The 20299-nt window shown below is 45.4% G+C and overlaps 1 protein-coding gene across 7 annotated transcripts in view, besides 1 other annotated feature; it reads left to right on the top strand.

The window, feature by feature from the left end:
* Positions 1–15713, top strand: part of CPNE1 (copine 1) — a 38857-nt gene extending 23144 nt beyond the window's left edge. For 6 of the 7 annotated variants that reach the window (NR_037188.2, NM_152926.3, NM_152925.3 and 3 more), the window contains 15 exons: positions 8834–8962; positions 9061–9240; positions 9372–9446; positions 9523–9594; positions 9732–9812; positions 9980–10069; positions 10179–10265; positions 10403–10489; positions 10584–10643; positions 10723–10856; positions 10962–11016; positions 11267–11318; positions 14344–14477; positions 14954–15190; positions 15376–15713. Coding sequence is in view for 6 of the 7 variants with exons in the window: in NM_152926.3 (NP_690903.1) it covers positions 8834–8962; positions 9061–9240; positions 9372–9446; positions 9523–9594; positions 9732–9812; positions 9980–10069; positions 10179–10265; positions 10403–10489; positions 10584–10643; positions 10723–10856; positions 10962–11016; positions 11267–11318; positions 14344–14477; positions 14954–15190; positions 15376–15516 (1614 nt within the window). In the remaining variant the exon portion in view is untranslated. The remainder of the gene's footprint in view (positions 1–8833; positions 8963–9060; positions 9241–9371; positions 9447–9522; positions 9595–9731; positions 9813–9979; positions 10070–10178; positions 10266–10402; positions 10490–10583; positions 10644–10722; positions 10857–10961; positions 11017–11266; positions 11319–14343; positions 14478–14953; positions 15191–15375) is intronic. The other variant, NM_001198863.2, reaches the window with a different exon arrangement.
* Positions 5503–6002: an enhancer, noted in NCBI's record as "H3K27ac hESC enhancer chr20:34223677-34224176 (GRCh37/hg19 assembly coordinates)". NCBI's record gives its function as "activates a minimal SCP1, AML or CMV promoter by ChIP-STARR-seq in primed H9 embryonic stem cells {active_cell/tissue: H9 hESC(primed)}" and the evidence as "EXISTENCE:reporter gene assay evidence [ECO:0000049][PMID:30033119]".
* Positions 15714–20299: the final 4586 nt, after the last annotated feature.

Genomic DNA, 20299 nt, shown 5'->3' with positions numbered 1-20299 from the left:
CGACAGAATACAGTCGTGTGGCATGAATTGAATATAGTGGTCCAGAGTGAGAAGTTGAGTGCTGGAAAGATCATGAAAAGGGGAGCATATATAAGCTAGGCTTGAAGGATAACGATAATAGCTAACACGTGGTCATAGCAGTTCCAGCCTCTGTACTAAGCATCATGCATACATTATTTATATTAATCTTCAGAAATAGATACTATCCCCCAGTTTACACCTGAGGAACCTGAAGTTTAGTGAGATTAAGTATTTGCCCAAGTTATATAGATATGACATCAATTTAGTGTTGTAGTATGTCATTATTGTGGCTAGGAAGGAATAAGGCCAGTATTTGGAGCCTGGTCACTTCACTGCAGAACCCACACTCTTGCCCACTGCATCAGATTGCAACAATATAAAAAGGGGGGCTTTTCAAAGAGAGGAAAAAAGTCTAACAACAGTCCAAGGTTTGAGATTAGGTAGGAATCAGAATATTTGAGTTCTAGTCTTCATTTCACTTAACCATATATGTGGCCTTAGCCAAACCACATCTTCCCTCTATGCCTTGGATTGAGGGACTTGAATTAGATGGCCACTCAGTTCTTTTTTATTTCTGACATTTTGTGAATTTTAAGTTATAAAAATGGGAATGAGTATGCCTTTCTTAAGGGACACTGAGAGAATGTGCCCTGCTAGGGCACATTGAGGTTGGCAGAGGGAGTAAACAGAAGAAAACAAACTATAAAGGGTAACTCCTAAGTGGTAGAAAGCAGAGGCAGAAAAATGTTGGAGCTATAGACTCAGCTGTTCCATTCGCAACACCCGACTAGTCCCAAATGGAAGGGTCAGGGGGTGGGGACCTAACAGAGAAGATAAATTGGTGTTTGGTGTTGGGTGTTCCTAGAAAGCCTACTTCTCTCAGTGTCTCAGTAGCAGGTCAGAGCTAGATTTGGGTCATTTCTGAGGATCCTTGAGTATCACTCCTTTCCTAGCATTCATAAATTTAACAGATATCAGTAGAGCACCTGCTGTGTTCCAGGCGTTGGCACAGAAGCAAGACTAATCTGGTCCCTCTGCTTGTTGAAGTTACAGTCCAAGAGGAGAAATACATAATAAGCAAGTTACACATTTTGATAGGATTATAAGAATTGGGGTTTTGTTGGATTAGAGTCAGGGAATGTCTGTGACTTCAACATAACAGATAGGAGGGGACTGAGAGTGGAAATGGTAAAACCAGTTAGACTGTTAGAGACATCGAGCCAAGATGTGCTCGGTGATGAAAGAGTGCACAAATATCACAAAAATAAATGACAAATTTTTTTTATTGACTCAAATGTGATATTTAATATGGTTCTGGAAGATTTTGGTCCTAAAAAGGAGGTTGAAAGTCCATGGCGTTAATTATAATGGCAGTATATGAAAAATACATGAGTCTGGTTTAAAGTAGGTAGTTGTTCAAGAGATGTAGGACAGAAGAGTGACATGAACAGTTTTAATCACAGATTTCTAAGCAGAGATAGGCTTAGAGGTAGATTTCAAAGGAGATTAAACATGTTTTGGAAGAGATTAATAATCCCGTGGTTTATAGATCATTTAAAGGAAATGTTGCTCAAAGGATAGAAAACTACAGATGGAAAAGATTTGTTTATAAAGAGTTGATTCCAATGAGAAAGAAAAGGAGACAAATCTGTGAACAAAACTGCTTGCACAGGAAGCTCTGACCTCAGAATGGAAGCCAGGCCACCTTAGGGGCTCACATCAGTGAGAGTTCAGCCCCTTATCCTACTGAGGCACACATGAGCCCACAACAGTATGGCTGGGGTTTGATTCTGGGTTCAAAAAACTGAAAAAGGATTTAGTCCAGGAAAAGTGGTGTAATGGTAATGATTAGGAAGGAATAGTCCACCAGAAATTGAGGCCTACACAGGAAGATGATAATAGTAGCCCACTACACGTGTTTGGCCCAGACCAAGGGCATCTCTTTTGGGGACATTTGAGAAGTCGTGGAGTGAGAAGACAGCAGCTCCAGTTGTGGCCTGTAATCTTACCACCCCAAATAATCACTGCTAATGCTTTTGTCATTCACAACAACCTCTTACCAGGGGGAGGACCTGTAGTTCTCCAATTAAAAATTTCCCTAGCTGGGTGCGGTGGCTCATGCCTGTAATCCCAGCACTTTGGGAGGCCAAGGCGGGCGGATCACCTCAGGTCAGGAGTTCAATACCAGCCTAGCCAACATGGTGAAACCCTGTCTCTACAAAAATATGAAAATTAGCCGGGCATGATGGCAGGTGCCTGTAATCCCAGCTACTCTGGAGGCTGTAGTGGGAGAATCGCTGGAACCCAGGAGGCGGAGGTTACTATGAGCCGAGATGGTGCCATTGCACTCCAGCCTGGGCAACAGAGTGAGACTCTGTCTAAAAAAAAAATAATAGTTTCCCCAACATTTTATTATGAAAATTTTCAACATGTAGCAAAGTTGAAAAAAATTATACCCATATATCCGCCATTTCAGATCCTACAACTTAAAATCTTGTTTTATCACATTTCTTCAACAACTCCTTTTATTTTTTGGTGGATTTCAAAAAAGTTTCAGTCATCGGTACACTTGTAAACATTTCAACATGCCTTAACTTTAGTGCAACATTTGTTTATGGGTTGTTGGGTTTTGTTTTTTTTTTTTGTAAAATTTTACAATCAGATGTGTACACTCAGTGTTCCTTTAGATGGAAGTGGCAAATGCACACACTCCTGTGACCCATATTCTTAGAATGCTAAGAACGTTTCCCTTTCCACTGGGAGCTCTCTGCCTCTGCTCAGTTAATACCTTCCCTTCCCCTGGGGGAGAAGGGAGGACAACCAGTGTTCTGAATATTTACATCACAGATTCGTTTTGCCTGTTCTGAAACTTCATAAATGGAATCTGTTTACTTTATTCTTCATTTTTATTCATGTTACAGATACTAATAGATTTTTTTGTTGCTGAATAGTTTTCTATAAACATCACAATTGGTTCTCATATTGATGAATACCTGGGCTGTTTCAAGTTTTTGGCTATTGTGAATAAAGCTGCTGTGAACATTCTTATACAAATCTTTGTGGACATAATGTTTCCATTTCTTTTGGCTAAAAATGTAGGAGTGGAATCGCTCTTGGGCTAGGTGTTTGTTAGGTTTTTTGATAAGCTGCCAGACTGTTTTCCAAAGTGGTACATTTAATGCTTTCACTAACAATATATGAGAGTTCCATATCCTTGCCAGCATTTGGTGGTGGTGGTCTTTTTAATTATACTTTTAGCCATTGTGGTGGGTATGTAACAGTATCTCATTGTGGTTTTATTTTTCATTTCCCTGATAATTAACGCTGTGGATCACTTTGCTTATTTCTGATTCACATATTTTCCTTTATGAAGTGCCTGATCAAATCTTTTGCCCATTTTAATTGACTATCATTTAATATTGAGTTGTAGGAGTCCTGCATTTAAATTTCAAAGTTGAACTATACAAGATCAGGATAGGGGAGATTTATTGTTACACATCAGTTCAAGGCCTGAAGTGTGACTTGAGCAAAAGCACATTCACCATTTGTTCAGCAAATGGTTATTAGTACCAGCTATATACTAAGTACTAATACTAGTGATACAGAGATAATATCCAGCCCTAGTTCAAGGACCCCATAGTTTACAGGGTAGACAGACAAAAGTAAAAATTATGGTGTGGCTTCAATGTTAAGTCAGTCACTAAATACTTACTGATGAGTATCTACTGTAGGATAGATAGATACTGCTGTGGGTCCTGGAGCTAGCCAGAGTTCCTACTCTAGTATAGCTTATTTTCTGTAGTGTATAAGGAGGGAGACAGAGTGCAAAAGCCCTGAGGTGGTAAATAAGGTTGGTGTTAGGTATATGTGGATCAGAAAGGCCAACCTGGCTGGAGGATAGTTGCGTGGCTAGATGATTAGTTAGGCAAGGGTAAGGTCTTGCAGGGCCTTGAAGACCATGGTAAGAACTTTGGGTTTTATCTTAAGTGTTTTGGAAAGGCATTCCAGAGTTTTCAGTGGAAAAATGACATGATCAGGTTTCTGTTTGGCTAATAAACCCAGAAATGTGTGTGTATGGTCGCAGAAACACTAATGAGGAAACATCGCAGTCATCCAGAGCAGAGACAAGAAAATCCTTGGGGAAAACAGGCAAGGGTTCATAAAGGAATAATGTCATATTAGAACCATGGATGACAGGACATTTGCTAGGCAGGAAAGTCAGGCATGTGTGTTAGATGAACCAGAAATAACTTTGGATGACTAGTTCGGTGGGTGGGTGAGTGAGCGGCAGGAGGTAGAGCTGATGGCAAACTGGGAAGAGCTTTGAAGGTTGATCTAGGGATGCAGGGTTACCAGATTGCAAAACTACCAAATTCTATGTAGGTATGTCCTTTGGAGTTGTGCAGCAAGGTAGCTTTGCTAGGGAGTTTGGCTCCGAACCTAAAGGCAGCTATACGGGGCTTTTACTTGGAATAGAGACTGGAAGCTGGCATCTGGGATGACCAGGTGGAGCAGTGCTAGGACAGAAACCAAGCAGGACGCAAGAGACTAATAAGGCCTGAAGTTAGGTAGGGGTTGTTGAACTGGAAGTGGAGGCTTTGGGCTTAGAATGAACAGTCAAGAAGATTTGAGGTGTGGATTTGGGGGGAAAGCTGATGAGGCCTTTTTATTTATTTTGCTTGTTTTGTTTTTGTTTTTTATTTCATATAAGGCCTTTTAAAAAATACAAAACAGTATAAAATATTGAAACAATACAGAATTATGGAGTTCACAAAATTCTTATCTTCCACTCCTTTGAGCTACCTAAAACATTTGATGCATCTTCTATTTTTCTGTGTGTGTATTTATTTATGTTTGTATTCAAATCTGTTATAAAGATACACCTACAATTGAAGTTTAAAATGGAAGTTTACAATTGAAGTAAAAAATGGTCATACTCTTCCTATTATTATTATTATTATTTGAGATGGAGTCTTGTGTACAGTGCCATGATCTCGGCTCACTGCAACCTCCAACTCCCAGGTTCAAGTGATTCTCCTGGCTCCCGAGTAGCTGGGACTACAGGTGTGCACCACCACACCCAGCTGATATTTGTATTTTTGGTAGAGACTGGGTTTCACCACGTTGGCCACGCTGGTCTTGAACTGACCTCAAGTGATCCGCCTGCCTCGGCGTCCCAAAACGCTGGGATTACAACAGTGAGCCACTGCGCCCGGCCTATTTTTGATTTTTTCATAGGATACCAATATAATATAGTTCTGGCTTGTTTTTTAGCCACTATTCAGCATTCCGTTGTTCAGATGTATCATATTTAGTTGATAGACCTTTAAGCTGCCTTAGATTTTTCACTATTCCCAGCATTAGTGAAATGAGCATTCTTTTTTATTTGTCTCTGTACTGTGTAAACACTGCCTGGGAGAGCATGTGAGGTGACATGCATGGAGTTCAGATTGTGACTTGGGGGAAGCTGTGATCCTGATCCCTTGAGGGAGCATGTATTCTGCTCTGGGTCTGTCCTTGGGGAACCCCCAAGGGAGTGATCAGGATGGTCAGAAGTCTGCAGGCCACATTCTAGGGGCAACAGCCAAAAGAACTGCGGCTGTTTCTCCAGATTTCAGCTGGGACTGTTCACAGCTTCCAGGTATCAGATGAGTTCTCATAGGGAGATAGGGTAAGGCCTTCCCATGGAGCCCTAGGCTGGGGAAGAACTACCAGGTAGAAGTAAGAATTCCACAGAGTTAGGTCAGTTTGGGTAGGATTTGTATGGACCTAGACTTTCTGATGATTGGATTGTAAGACTGGGTTTTCTATCACTGGGACTGTTCATGCAGGGGCCAGGGTGCTGTGGAGGGGCAGTATGTGAAGCAAGTTGAACTCTGAAGCATTCCAACTTTGATAACAGCATTCCAGATGGAAACTATGAGGGACCAAGATGAGGTGCTGTGGGCTGCGAGGGAGGAGCGATTGACTGAGGATCAGTATAGGGGAGGGCTGACGCTGGAGGCATCTCAGGGTATAGCTTTGGGAAACATGGAATGCTGAGTGAAGCTCAGTGAAAGATCTGACCTCGTGTGCACTGCTGGTGGAGTGGTCTTCAGGTATATGGGCCAAGGGGGACACAGGGATAACAAGAGGTCTGAGGGTGATTGTTATGGTGGCTGCAGGAGGACGGAATTACCCAGGTGTTGTCGTGGTGAACCATGCAAGAAAATAATGTTCCCAGCAGAGGGAAGGGGTGAATCAGAGAAGCTTGGTGCTGCCTGATTACAAGGGCGAGACATCAGTTAGTTTGGAGCTGGCTGGGCAGGGAGCTGGGGCTGGAGATGAACTTTCAGATTTCATTCTGCAAATATGTATTGTCTAGGTGCTTGGGATAGAGCAATAAACAGAACAGCTAAATATTCCTTTCTCACAGAATTTATATTCTAGTGGGGGAAACAGTATATACATGTATATAATGTTAGACATTGAGAAAAAGCAAAAAAGGGGTATGCAATGCCAGGGGCAGTGGGGTTGAAATTTTAGAGGGGCTAAAAGGGAGAGCCTTTATATATATATGTATATATAAAACAGGGAAGATTATTTTGAGTAAAGACTTGTGGGGAAAGGGAGCAGTGAGCCATGTGGATATAATGCAGAGAAAGAACACATTCCAGGTACTGCAAAGTGTTTGGGGTAGAAACAAACTTGGCTGGCTGGGTGTGGTGGCACACACTATCATGCCAGGACTTTGGGAGGCTGAGGTGGGTGGATTGCTTGATCCGAGGAGTTGCCCAGCAGCCTGGGCAACATAGTGAGACCCTGTCTCTACAAAAAAAAAAAAAAAAAAATAGCTGGGTGTGGTGATGCACACCTGTAGTCCCAGCTACTTGGGAGGCTGAGGTGGGAGGGATCGCTTGAACCCAAGGGGCAGAGGTTGTGGTGAGCTGAGATCTCACCACTGCACTTCAGCCTGGGTGACAGTGAGACTCTGTCTCACGAAAGAAGGAACAAACAAACTTGGCTTATTTGAGGAGTGACAAAGTGGCTGAAATGGAGTGAGCAAGAGAGACACTCCGAGATCAGGTTAAAGAAATCTGGACCTTCCAGGACCTTATAGGCCATGGTATAGTTTGGACTTTTTTTCTTTTCTTTTCTTTTTGGAAATGGAGTCTAGCTTTGTTGCCCAGGCTGGAGTACGGTGGCGCGATCTCGGCTTACTTCAACCTCCACCCGCCAGGTTCAAGCGATTCTCCTGCCTCAGCCTCCCAAAGTGCTAGGATTACAGGCGCCCACCACCATACCAGCTAATTTTTTTTATTTTTAGTAGAGACAGGGTTTCACCATGTTGGTCAGGCTGGTCTCGAACTCCTGACCTCAAGTGAGCCACCATATCTGGCCAAGTTTGGAGTTTTTCTAAGCTCAGTAGGAAATGGGAAGTACTAGAGGGTTCAGGCAGAGGCGTGATATGACCTCACTTTTTTTTTTTTTTTTTTGTGACAGAGTCAACCTCGGTCCCCCAGGCTGGAGTGCAGTGGCGCCATCTCGGCTCACTGCAAGCTCTGCCTCCCGGATTCACGCCATTCTCCTGCCTCAGCCTCCCGAGTAGCTGGGACTACAGGCGCCCGCCACCACACCTGGCTAATTTTTTGTATTTTTAGTAGAGACAGGGTCTCACCATGTTAGCCAGGATGGTCTCGATCTCCTGACCTCGTGATCCACCCACCTTGGCCTCCCAAGGTGCTGGGATTACAGGCTTGAGCCACCGTCCCCGGCCTTTTTTTTTTTTTTTTTTTTGAGACGGAATCTTGCTCTTGTTGCCCAGGCTGGAGTACAGTGGCACAGTCTCGGCTCACTGCAACCTCCACCTCCTGGGTTCAAGCAATTCTCCTGCCTCAGCCTCCTGAGTAGCCAGGATTATAGGCACACGCCAACATGCCTGGCTAATTTTTGTATTTTTTTTTTTAGTAGAGACGGGGTTTCACCATGTTGGCCAGGCTGGTCTCAAACTCCTGACCTCAAGTGATCTGCCCACCTTGGCCTCCCAAAGTGCCAGGATTACAGGCATGAGCCACTGTGTCCGGCCTCACTTATGTTTTAATAGGATCGCCCTGATTGCTGTATTTAGAATAGCCTGTTGGGGTGGACATGGGGGAACGGAGGTGGAGACAGCATAGAATAAGGGAGACCAGTTGAAGAGGCTAATGCTGTAAGCCAGGTGACAAACAGTGATGGCTTAGATTGGGCAGCAGCAGTGGAAATAGTGAGGAGTTGAACATTAGCAGTAGAGGTGAGGAGAATTAGTAGGGGGATCATAACTCCACCACAAGAGTTAGATCCCCAGGGTTAGTGAGAAATTATTGGAAGAAGATAATTTGTGGAGGATATTATCTGGATCATAGTTATATTTGGGGTTATGTTAGGATCAGAACTTGGATTAGGGTCTGGCCTGGGGCCAGTAAGGGGGTCAGAAAGATTTATTGGTCTTTGCAAAGACCAAGATTAGAGTCTGGGTTTGGACAGCCCTATTGGGATTAAGACAAATTTTAGGGTGAGGATAGTTTGGGGTCACAGTTGTAGATGGAGGCTAGTACCCCTTTTCAATATCTTCAGACCAGGGTTGGTTGTATCTGCCATCTTCTGTGCCAGTGAGCTCACCTAGGGGTGGAGGGGTTTGGAGGCTATGAGGCCTTCTCTTCCTTGGGTGTCACGGGGGTGGACGTATGCTCAGCCCTGCCTGGGTGATGCCTGCTGGCCTTCCCAAGCTGGGACCTGTAGTCGGGGAAGGGGAGAGAAGGCTCCCTGGTGCTTGACCCAGCTCCTTTTCCCTCAGATGGCCCACTGCGTGACCTTGGTTCAGCTGTCCATTTCCTGTGACCATCTCATTGACAAGGACATCGGCTCCAAGTCTGACCCACTCTGCGTCCTTTTACAGGATGTGGGAGGGGGCAGCTGGGCTGAGGTGAGGCGGATTATGGAGGTTAAGGTTGTGGAGGGAGGCTAGGATTGTGTTTTGGGGTGGAGGCTGTGACTGTGATGCTTACTGGCCTCTGCCCACAGCTTGGCCGGACTGAACGGGTGCGGAACTGCTCAAGCCCTGAGTTCTCCAAGACTCTACAGCTTGAGTACCGCTTTGAGACAGTCCAGAAGCTACGCTTTGGAATCTATGACATAGACAACAAGACGCCAGAGCTGAGGGATGATGACTTCCTAGGGGGTGCTGAGTGTTCCCTAGGACAGGTATGTAGGGCTGGGGATTAGGATCCTTCAGATGCAGGTCTGTGAGACAACCTAGCCTGCCTGGAGGTAGGGGGCAAGCAGGACCTAACCCTGCCTGTTATCCTGAAACTCCCTTCCCTGCTTTTCCCCAGATTGTGTCCAGCCAGGTACTGACTCTCCCCTTGATGCTGAAGCCTGGAAAACCTGCTGGGCGGGGGACCATCACGGTAAGGAACCCAGCAAGGGTTGAGGAGGGACTTAACATCAATGAATTCATGAGGTGATGTAGTCTCCCCTACCTAGGTCTCAGCTCAGGAATTAAAGGACAATCGTGTAGTAACCATGGAGGTAGAGGCCAGAAACCTAGATAAGAAGGTGTGTCTGGAAGTAGGCCCTGGTAATCCAAGAGTTAAGGGGCCAAGGATGGTGTATGGGGGATGGGGGTGTGGACAGAGGGATGGCATAATGGTTGTTTGTTCCTGAGTCTTGTAACTGGGGTCTCGCATTGGCAGGACTTCCTGGGAAAATCAGATCCATTTCTGGAGTTCTTCCGCCAGGGTGATGGGAAATGGCACCTGGTGTACAGATCTGAGGTATGAGACCCCTGGGATTGGGTGGGCTGGGGTAGGAGATAATCTCCTGGGGCCTGTGACTAGCAAGGTTTGGAACTCAGAAAGAGACTGCAGGTGGGTAGAGAAGTGTGGCAGCTCCTCAGGGGGCCATGCCAGAGCTCACTGGAGGCCTTGGCCTCCACCTTCAGGTCATCAAGAACAACCTGAACCCTACATGGAAGCGTTTCTCAGTCCCCGTTCAGCATTTCTGTGGTGGGAACCCCAGCACACCCATCCAGGTGAGGAGCTTGCCCCCTAAGTGGACTGCGCTGGAGAAGAGAACCTGGGGAGGGACTTATTCTCATCTGCCACCTGGCTTGTTTATGTCCACACACACCTTTCCCTCAGGTGCAATGCTCCGATTATGACAGTGACGGGTCACATGATCTCATCGGTACCTTCCACACCAGCTTGGCCCAGCTGCAGGCAGTCCCGGTGAGTGCTGGTCTTGCCAGGGGTGTGGAAATGGGCCTAGATAGCTGAAGCTTGTGGGAGAGAGGAAGGAGAAGGCAGCTCGAGTCCTTGACTGATGCTCTGAGAATTTCCTACCCTAATTTTTCTGTCCTCACCAGGCTGAGTTTGAATGCATCCACCCTGAGAAGCAGCAGAAAAAGAAAAGCTACAAGAACTCTGGAACTATCCGTGTCAAGATTTGTCGGGTGAGACAAAAGCCCATGTAACCAAGGCTCTGATTCCTGAGCTCCATGACACCAACTGCTATCACCCCAGGCATGACCCTGGTTTCATTTGCAGGTAGAAACAGAGTACTCCTTTCTGGACTATGTGATGGGAGGCTGTCAGATCAACTTCACTGTAAGTTACTTTACCAAGGGCAAGAGAACAGGTCTGGGGCTCAGGGTGGCCTTTAGCTGCCTTCCTCACCTCCTCCCAGGTGGGCGTGGACTTCACTGGCTCCAATGGAGACCCCTCCTCACCTGACTCCCTACACTACCTGAGTCCAACAGGGGTCAATGAGTACCTGATGGCACTGTGGAGTGTGGGCAGCGTGGTTCAGGACTATGACTCGTGAGTACCTGCTTCTCTGGGCTATACCCGCTCCCTGCAGATGCTTCAGCCTCTGAGCTTACAGTCCCCTCACTGCCTTTTGCCCAATACACTGTCCTCCCACAGAGACAAGCTGTTCCCTGCATTTGGATTTGGGGCCCAGGTTCCCCCTGACTGGCAGGTGAGCTCCCTCTCTTTCTGCCACTCCTGTTTTCAGTTTCAGGGTCCTGATTTTGGGGGATGTGGTAAATTTACTTGCTACTTGGCACTCAGCTTTAAGAGGAGATGCAGGGTTGGATTCCTGCAGGCACGTAGACAGCAAGTGCTCAGGACTCCATAGCTCCTATAGGAATCTTGGCACACGCCAGTGTCCTTTTTCATTCTTAGCAGAGGTCATGGGGAAAGAACCTCATTTTCATTCTTGTCTCCAGGTCTCGCATGAATTTGCCTTGAATTTCAACCCCAGTAACCCCTACTGTGCAGGTAAGTTTCCCCATCCACCCTGAGGCAGGTCTGTCCACACAAAGAGGGGCAAGCCTGCATGAGTAAAAGGGAGAGTGGGGGCAGATACCTGCCTTCATTGTCCAGAGGGTGGATTTTATTTAATTTTAGTTTAATTTATTTTTTGAGAAAGAGTCTTGCTCTGTCACCCAGGCTGGAGTGCGGTGGCGCAATCTTAGCTCACTTGCAACCTCTGCCTACTGGGTTCGAGCAATTCTTCTGCCTCAGCCTCCCAAGTAGCTGGGACTACAGTCGCTTGCCACCGTGCCTGGCTAATTTTTGTATGTTTAGTAGAGACGGGGTTTTGCCATGTTGGCCAGGGTGGTCTCGAATTCCTGACCTCAGGTGATTGACCTGCCTTGGCCTCCCAAAGTGCTGGGATTACAGGTATTGAGCCACAGCGCCTGACCCAGAGGGTGGATTTTAGAGCTAGGCCTCTGGAATCAAATCGTCATGCCAGGCCAGGAGTGGTGGCTCACGCCCGTAATCCTAGCACTCAGTTGCGAGGCCAAGGTGGGTGGATCGCTTGAGCCCAGGAATTTGAGACTAGCTTGGGAAACATGGCAAAACCCCATCTCTACTAAAATTACAAAAATTAGCCGAGCATGATGGCAGGCGCCTGTAGTTCTAGCTACTCAGGAGGCTGAGGTGGGAGGATCACCTGAGCCCAGGAGGTTGAGGTTGTGGTGAGCCATGATCATGATCATGCCACTATACTCCAGCCTGGGTGATAGAGTGAGAACCTATCTCAAAAAAAAAAAAAAATGATGCCACATGACTTGGGGCAGGTTGCTTAATCTCTGTGTGCTTTGGTTTCATAAGACTAAACATAGGAAATTGAGTACTCAAGGAGAGGATACAAGTAAAGCAGTAAGCCTGGTACTTACTAAGTGTTCTCCGAAAAATGGTATCTGTTATATTATCGTTATTATCTTTGCCTAGAAGCTAACAGGTACTTACTTGAGCATCAGTGGAAGCCTTGTTTGCCTCCTTGCAGGGTGCATTTTGCCAGAGTCCACCAAGCCCTTTTGTTTAGGGCCAAACCTTTTGACTCCCCAGTACCCCCAAGGGGGCACAAGCTGAAGTGGAAAATCTGACCTGACCTGATCTGATCTGGGTTTTAAAATTTTAATTTTGTATTTCAACATAAGTTCAGACTTAGAGAAAAGTTGCAAGAATAGTCATAGGAGCTCAGTCCCTTGGAACTCAGGGGTCAGGGCCTGAGTTCACAGGGGCTCTTCACCTTTATCCCAATTACCCTAACATAACATTTTACCACATTTGTTTTCTCTTTTCTCATACATGTATACAGTGTGTATGTGTGTGTATATGTGTGTGTGTGTGTACACATGTATACATATACACACACATTCACACATTTCAAGGGAAAAAAGATTAAAAATATGTGTTTATGTATGTACACACATGTATACGTGTGTTGGAGAATGCTGTAGTGAATAGCCCTGCCTCAGGTTTGCTTCTATGGCCCTACCAGCTTTGTACCCATCATTATCCACCTGGCTTTTTACCTCTGAGTACTTCAGTATCTCCTAAAATCAAAGACTCTTTCTTACATTATCACAGACCAATCCTCAAAATCAGGAAATGAACATCTATGCTATTATCCAGCCTATAGCATTTATTCAGATGTTGCCAATTGTCCTAATGTCTTTTACAGCAAAAGAAAATCTCAGATCACACATTGCGTTCAGTTAGCACATATCTTTTTATATGGAAGACTTCTTGCCTTTCATGACATTCACATTTCATGATATAAACAGTATAGGCCAGATATTTTCTAGAATGTCCCTCAGTTTGGGTTTACCTGATAAATCCTCAGGATTAGATTCAGGTTGTACATTTTTGGCAGGAATACCACCAAAGTGATGCTGTATATTCTCAGTGCATCATATTCAGAGGAACATGATGTTGATTTGTCCTATTACCAGTCATGTTGACTTTGGTCACTTAGTTAAGGTAAGATCTACCAGGTTTCTCCACTATACAAGTACTATTTTCTCCTTTCTATTTAGTAAGTATATTCTGGGAAGAGACTATACAAATACTCATCACACACACATCAACATTCCCCTCTAGTTTTTTTTTTTTTAATTTATTTTTTATTTTTTATTTTTTGAGATGGAGTCTTGCTCTGTCACCCAGGCTGGAATGCGGTGGCGCGATCTTGGCTCACTGCAAGCTCCACCTCCTGGGTTCACGCCATTCTCCTGCCTCAGCCTCCCGAGTAGCTGGGACTACAGGCGCCCACCACCACGCCCGGCTAGTTTTTTTTTTGTATTTTTAGTAGAGACGGGGTTTCACTGTGTTAGCTGGGATGGTCTCAATCTCCTGACCTTGTGATCCGCCCGCCTCAGCCTCCCAAAGTGCTGGGATTACAGGCCTGAGCCACTGCGCCCGGCCTTAGTTTTTTTATTTTTTAAGTGACGGGGGTCTCACTATGTTGCCTAAGCTGGCCTTGAACCCCTGGGCTCAAGCAGTCCTCCCACCTCAGCCTCGTGAGTAGCTGGGACTACAGGCACATGCCACTGTGCCTGGCTATACTCTCTAGTTTTAACATCCATTGATGATCCTTGCCTGAATCAGTCATTTCTGTGATTGTCAAATGATTGTGTAATTCTTCCTTTTACATTTATTAGGAGCTTTCCCTTCTCCCTCAGTAATTAATCCATAGTACGGATCCTTATTGTATCAAATGGATCATTATTAAATAGGTTATAATCTGATGCTCAAACTCTCCTGGATTTGTCCAGGAGAATCCCTCTCATCTGGGTGCTAATTCAAGCTGTGATTTAGGGCAAGTCCCCTCCTCTCTTTGAACCTTAGTTTCCTCATGTGTAGGAGACAGTTAAGTACCCTGGTTTACAAGGGTGAATGAATGAAATGCACCCAGGTTCCGAGATCTCCTGGGCTGGGATGGGGTGATTTCAGGACTGGTGTAGTCCTGAGAGGTCCAGGATTTTACGGTATTTCTTGCTCTCCTCTGCAGGCATCCAGGGCATTGTGGATGCCTACCGCCAAGCCCTGCCCCAAGTTCGCCTCTATGGCCCTACCAACTTTGCACCCATCATCAACCATGTGGCCAGGTTTGCAGCCCAGGCTGCACATCAGGGGACTGCCTCGGTGAGAGTCGTGGGTGGCAGTGGCAGTGGTGGCAATCAAGGGCTTCCTTGAGGGTTATGGAACAAAGGACTTTTTTTTTTTTTTTTTTTTTTGAGATGGACTCTTGCTCTGTCACCCAGGCTGGAGTGCAGTGACGCGATCTCAGCTCACTGCAACCTGCACCTCCTGGGTTCAAGTGATTCTCCTGCCTCAGCCTTCCTAGTAGCTTGGATTACAGGCGTGTGCCACCATGCCCAGCTAATTTTTATATTTTTAGTAGAGACGGGCTTTCACCATGTTGGCTGGGGTGGTCACAAACTCCTGACCTCAAGTGATCCGCCTGCCTTAGCCTCCCAAAGTGCTGGGATTACAGGTGTGAGCCATCGCACCCGGCCTGTAACAAGGGACTTCTTATGAGTGTGGGGATGTGTGGCTGGGGTGTTTGCAGGGGTTTAGGAGGAGGATCTGCTTCAGGACATGAATGGGCTTGTCCCCAGCAATACTTCATGCTGTTGCTGCTGACTGATGGTGCTGTGACGGATGTGGAAGCCACACGTGAGGCTGTGGTGCGTGCCTCGAACCTGCCCATGTCAGTGATCATTGTGGGTGTGGGTGGTGCTGACTTTGAGGCCATGGAGCAGCTGGACGCTGATGGTGGACCCCTGCATACACGTTCTGGGCAGGCTGCTGCCCGCGACATTGTGCAGTTTGTACCCTACCGCCGGTTCCAGAATGTGAGTAGGTGCAAATTTGATCTGGGAGTTTACCCTTTCACCTTTCCCTGATGTGAGTAGGGTTGAGGCCCAAGGGATGCTCACCTTTTCCTCTAAGCCTGGGATATGGTTGGGTTCTTGAGCATGAAATACAGACTTTGGGCAGCTGTTCTGGGCCACCACTGACTTTTCCCTTTTCTTGGCAGGCCCCTCGGGAGGCATTGGCACAGACCGTGCTCGCAGAAGTGCCCACACAACTGGTCTCATACTTCAGGGCCCAGGGTTGGGCCCCGCTCAAGCCACTTCCACCCTCAGCCAAGGATCCTGCACAGGCCCCCCAGGCCTAGGTTCCCTTGGAGGCTGTGGCAAGTCCTCAATCCTGTGTCCCAGAGGTCCCTCTGGGCCACAACCCAACCCTTCTCACTCTCCTCAGTGCTAGCACTTTGTATTTTTTGATACTTTTATACTTGTTTCTGCTTTTGCTGCTCTTGATCCCACCTTTGCTCCTGACAACCCTCATTCAATAAAGACCAGTGAAGACCAATGCTTTGCCACCACTCTCTTGTGTGTTTTTAGGTAGGAGGCTGCTATGAGCAATGTTTACATCCCCTCTCCACACCTTAGTTTGTTTACTTAGGGGTTGTTACGTGAAGGATGTCTCTGGTGTAAAGCCCCACTCAAAGTTGAGTATTTCTGGGCAGATATCTATTCATTCTAGAGACACTGACTCACTGTTTTTGAAAATACAGCCAGGGGTGGGTATCATGTACCTGTAGTCCTCAGCTTGGGAGGCTGAGGTGGGAGGACTGCTTGAGCTCAGGAGTTCCAGAGCAGGTCTGGGCAACATAGCAAGACCCCATTACACACACAAGAAAAGGAAATACAAAGTTTGAAAGTAAGCTAAACACCCAGCCTTCGCCTTCCCTCCCTCAGGGCAGAGCTGGGCTGGGAATACAAAGATGGAAAGTGTCAGACTTCATAAAAAGCAGCAAAAGGAGAAGGATGGATGAGTTTTAAGGTGGAGCAAAGGCTATGTTAGACTTCCTGGAGGGGAGGGAGTAGTGGTAATTTTGGTCCTAAAGACAAGTGAAAATCCTGAATTTTTTTAACAGCTAATTTTTTCTTAATAGAGAATACATGTATTCATTGTAGAAAAATTCTGGCTGGGCGTGGTGGCTCATGCCTGTAATCCCAGCACTTTGGGAGGCTGAAGAGGGCAGATCATTTGAGGTCAGGAGTTCAAGACCAGCCTGGCCAACATGATGAAACCCCATCTCTACTAAAAATACAGAAATTAGCTTGGTGTGGTGGTGGGTGCCTATGATTCCAACTACTCAGGAGGCTGAGGCAGGAGAATCGCTTGAACCCAGGAAGCGGAGGATGCAGAGAGCTGGTATTGCACCACTGCACCCCAGCCTGAGCTACAGAGCGAGACTCTGTCTCAGAAAAGAAAAAAATTTTAAGTGCAGAAAAAATATCACTCAAACTCCCATGTCCTGATAAAACATATTGGGCACATAACTTTTTGTCTACACATACTGTTTTAGCATGTGTTAAAATTTGTTTTTTCTAATTTTAAAATACGTGCTTGTTAGTATGAAGTTATTTCAAATATAAATATTGTACAAATAGGCCAGGTGCAGTGGCTCACACCTGTAATCCCAGCACTTTGGGAGGCCGAGGCAGGCGGATCACAAGGTCAGGAGATTGAGACCATCCTGGCTAACAGGGTGAAACCCCGTCTCTACTAAAAAATGTAAAAAATTAGCCAGGCGTGGTGGCGGGCGCCTGTGGTCCCAGCTACTGGGGAGGCTGAGGCAGGAGAATGGCGGGAACCCAGGAGGCGGAGCTTTCAGTGAGCTGAGATGGCGCCACTGCACTCCTGCCTGGGTGACAAAGCGAGACTCCCTCTCAAAAAAAAAAAACAAAAACACATTGTACAAATAGTGGAGCAGGTAAGGGCCCCTGTTTTTCCTAGATCTGAAAAATAGATTTTTATCAATGGGCTATTTATACGTACTACTTGGACCTTTTTATTTAATACATTTTGGTGTCTTACCTATCAGAACCTATTGCTTCATTCCTTTTTTTTTTTTTTTTTTTTTTTGAGACGTAGTCGCTCTGTATTGCCCAGGCTGGAGTGCAATGGCGTGATCTCAGCTCACTGCAACTTCTGCCTTCTGGGTTCAAGCGATTCTCCTGCTTCACCTCCCAAGTAACTGGGACTACAGGCACGCACCACCATGCCTGGCTAATTTTTGTATTTTTAGTAGAGATGGGGTTTCACCATGTTGGCTGGTCTTGAACTCGAGACCTCAGGTGATCTGCCCACCTTGGCCTCCCAAAGTGCTGGGATTACAGGCATAAGCCACTGCACCTGGCCATCATTTTTTTTTTTTTTTTTGTAGGAGTGTACCTTATTTAGCTCATCTCTTATTTATGGAGATTTGAGTCTTAGTTTCTTTCAATGCTGTAATGAACATCCTTGTACATATATGTCTGTGCACTTAACTGGAATGTTTCTGAAGAAACATTTGTTCTGAAGAAACATTTATTCCTAAAAGTGGAAATGCTATATCAAAGGTTATATTTTAAATTTTAATAGATATTGCAAATTATTCTTCATAACAAAAATTATGGTCAAAGTTACACCTTTTGTTAATCTGACAGGTAAAAAAAGAAGCAAAAAATCATTTTTAGTTTGAATTTATTTTATTTTTTATTTTATTTTTATTTTTTTGATGGAGTCTCACTCTGTTGCCCAGGCTGGAGTGCAGTGGCACCATCTCAGCTCACTGCAACCTCCGCCTCCCAGGTTCAAGTGATTCTCCTGCCTCAGCCTCCTGAGTAGCTGGGATTGCAGGCATGCGCCAGCACGCCCGGCTGATTTTTGTATTTTTAGTAGAGACGGGGTTTCACCATATTGGTCAGGCTGGTCTCAAACTCCTGACCTCGTGATCTGCTCACCTCGGCCTCCCAAAGTGCTGGAATTACAGGCGTGAGCCACCACACCCAGCTCGAATTTATTTAAATATGAAGGATCGGTATCTTATATGGTTATTTGTAAATTATAGTTCTTCTCAATAGCCTATTCATAGTCTGCATGTATGTGTTATAGCTTTTATTTTGTTAAGGTTATTAGCCCCTTCATCTCATACATGTTGAAAATATTTCTTCCCAGGTTGTCTTTTTATTTATAGTGTCCTTTGGCATATAGAATTCTTTTAATATGGACATATTATTTATGCCAGTTTAACTTGCTTTTTAAAAAGTTATCCATATATCATTTATTATTATTACCATTTAGATAGAGTCTTGCTCTGTTGCCCAGGCTAGAGTGCAGTGGTGCGATCTCAGCTCACTGCAACCTCTGCCTCCCAGGTTCAAGCGATTCTCCTGCCTCAGCCTCCCTAGTAGCTGGGATTACAGGCGCGCACCAGTATGCCCAGCTAATTTTTGTTTTGTTTTGTTTTGTTTTGTTTTTTGAGATGGAGTCTAGCTCTGTCGCCCAGGCTGGAGTGCAGTGGCGCGATCTGGGCTCACTGCAAGCTCCACCTCCCGGGTTCAAGCAATTCTCCTGCCTCAGCCTCCTGAGTAGCTGGGACTACAGGTGCCTGCCACCACGCCCGGCTAATTTTTTTGTATTTTTTTAGTAGAGATGGGGTTTCACAATGTTGGCCAGACTGGTCTCAAACTCTCAACCTCAGGTGATCCGCCCACCTCGGCCTCCCAAAGTGCTGGGATTACAGGCGTGAGCCACCATGCCTGGCCTATATATCATTACTTTCAGTGGCTTCAGACATTCTCTTATATTACCATTTCTATTGGCTGCTTATTTTTTATAACAGTTTATCTACTTGGTTACTAAGTTTCCAATTTATAAACAACACTGTTAAATTTCCTTATAAATATTACCTTTGAATACATCTATGTATTCTATGGATACATTCTTAGAAATGGAATTGCTGTGAGTAAAGAGTACAAAAAGTTGTAAGGCTTTTGGTTCCTGTTGTGAAACTGCCCTCCAGAAAAGCTGCATTAGTTCATAATTCTAAACTTAGGCTTTGATAAATAAAAATAGGCCTTGAGAGCACTCAGTGGGGTCTTTTTCATCTTCAAATTATAAAAAAATCCCCCAGATTATTTATTTATTTATTTATTTTATTTGAGATGGAGTCTCACTCTGTCGCCAGACTGGAGTGCAGTGGCACGATCTTGGCCCACTGCAACCTCTGCCTCCCGATTCAAGTGATTTCCTGCCTCAGTCTCCCAAGTAACTGGGACTACAGGCACATGCCACAACGCCCAGCTAATTTTTGTATCCATGTTGGCCAGGATGGTCTTGATCTCCTGACCTCATGATCCACCCTCCTCAGCCTCCCAAAGTGCTGGGACTACAGGCATGAGACACCATACCAGGCCGAATTTCACTTCTTAAAAGTATAAACACTATTAATAGTCTGTATATTCTTCTAAAGCATGAGCACATTGGGAAGGTGTTAATGCCTACATCTTATTTTTTTGTAGGAGCGTACCCGTCTCTTATTCATGGAGATTTGAATCCCAGTTTTTTTCAAACAATGCTATAATGAACATCTTTGTACATGTATCTTTGTGCACTTAACAGGAATGTTTCTGAAGAATTTGTTCCTAAAAGTGGAAGTGCTAGATCAAAGGGTATATTTAAAATTTTACCAGATACTGCACATTGCCCTCCAAGATGGTGCATGTTGTGCGTGTTGCTTTGCTCATGCTGGTCCTCCTTTCCTACCCCTAGGTAGAACTCATTAATCCTTTGTTGCCTTCTCCTCCATCTTTTTTCCCTGCAATTCCACTTTCGACCCTTAGAGTGAAGAATTCTTGGATCTGTAAATGCATTGTCCTGTTTCCTGGAGTCTCTTCTTTCCCCTGTCAGGCTCCTTGAGGGCAGGGACTGGTGAACACTAAATCATCTATGCTGTGCCTCACACAGAGTTGGGAACTCAGGTCTCAGTAAGACAACCTATGTAGGGGCTACCAGGCCTGCATCAGCTCTGTGACTCAGAAGCTTCCTAGAGGTTATCAAGTCTCCTTAGCTTTTGAGTGTGTGCCTGCAGAAGGTGGGTAGCTACCCCTCCACCGGTACCTAGC

Source organism: Homo sapiens, chromosome 20 (genome assembly GCF_000001405.40).
Source record: "Homo sapiens chromosome 20, GRCh38.p14 Primary Assembly".
NCBI classification, from domain to species: Eukaryota; Metazoa; Chordata; class Mammalia; order Primates; family Hominidae; genus Homo; species Homo sapiens.
Note: the sequence above shows the minus strand (reverse complement) of the source record. Positions and strands in the feature narration are given on the sequence as shown.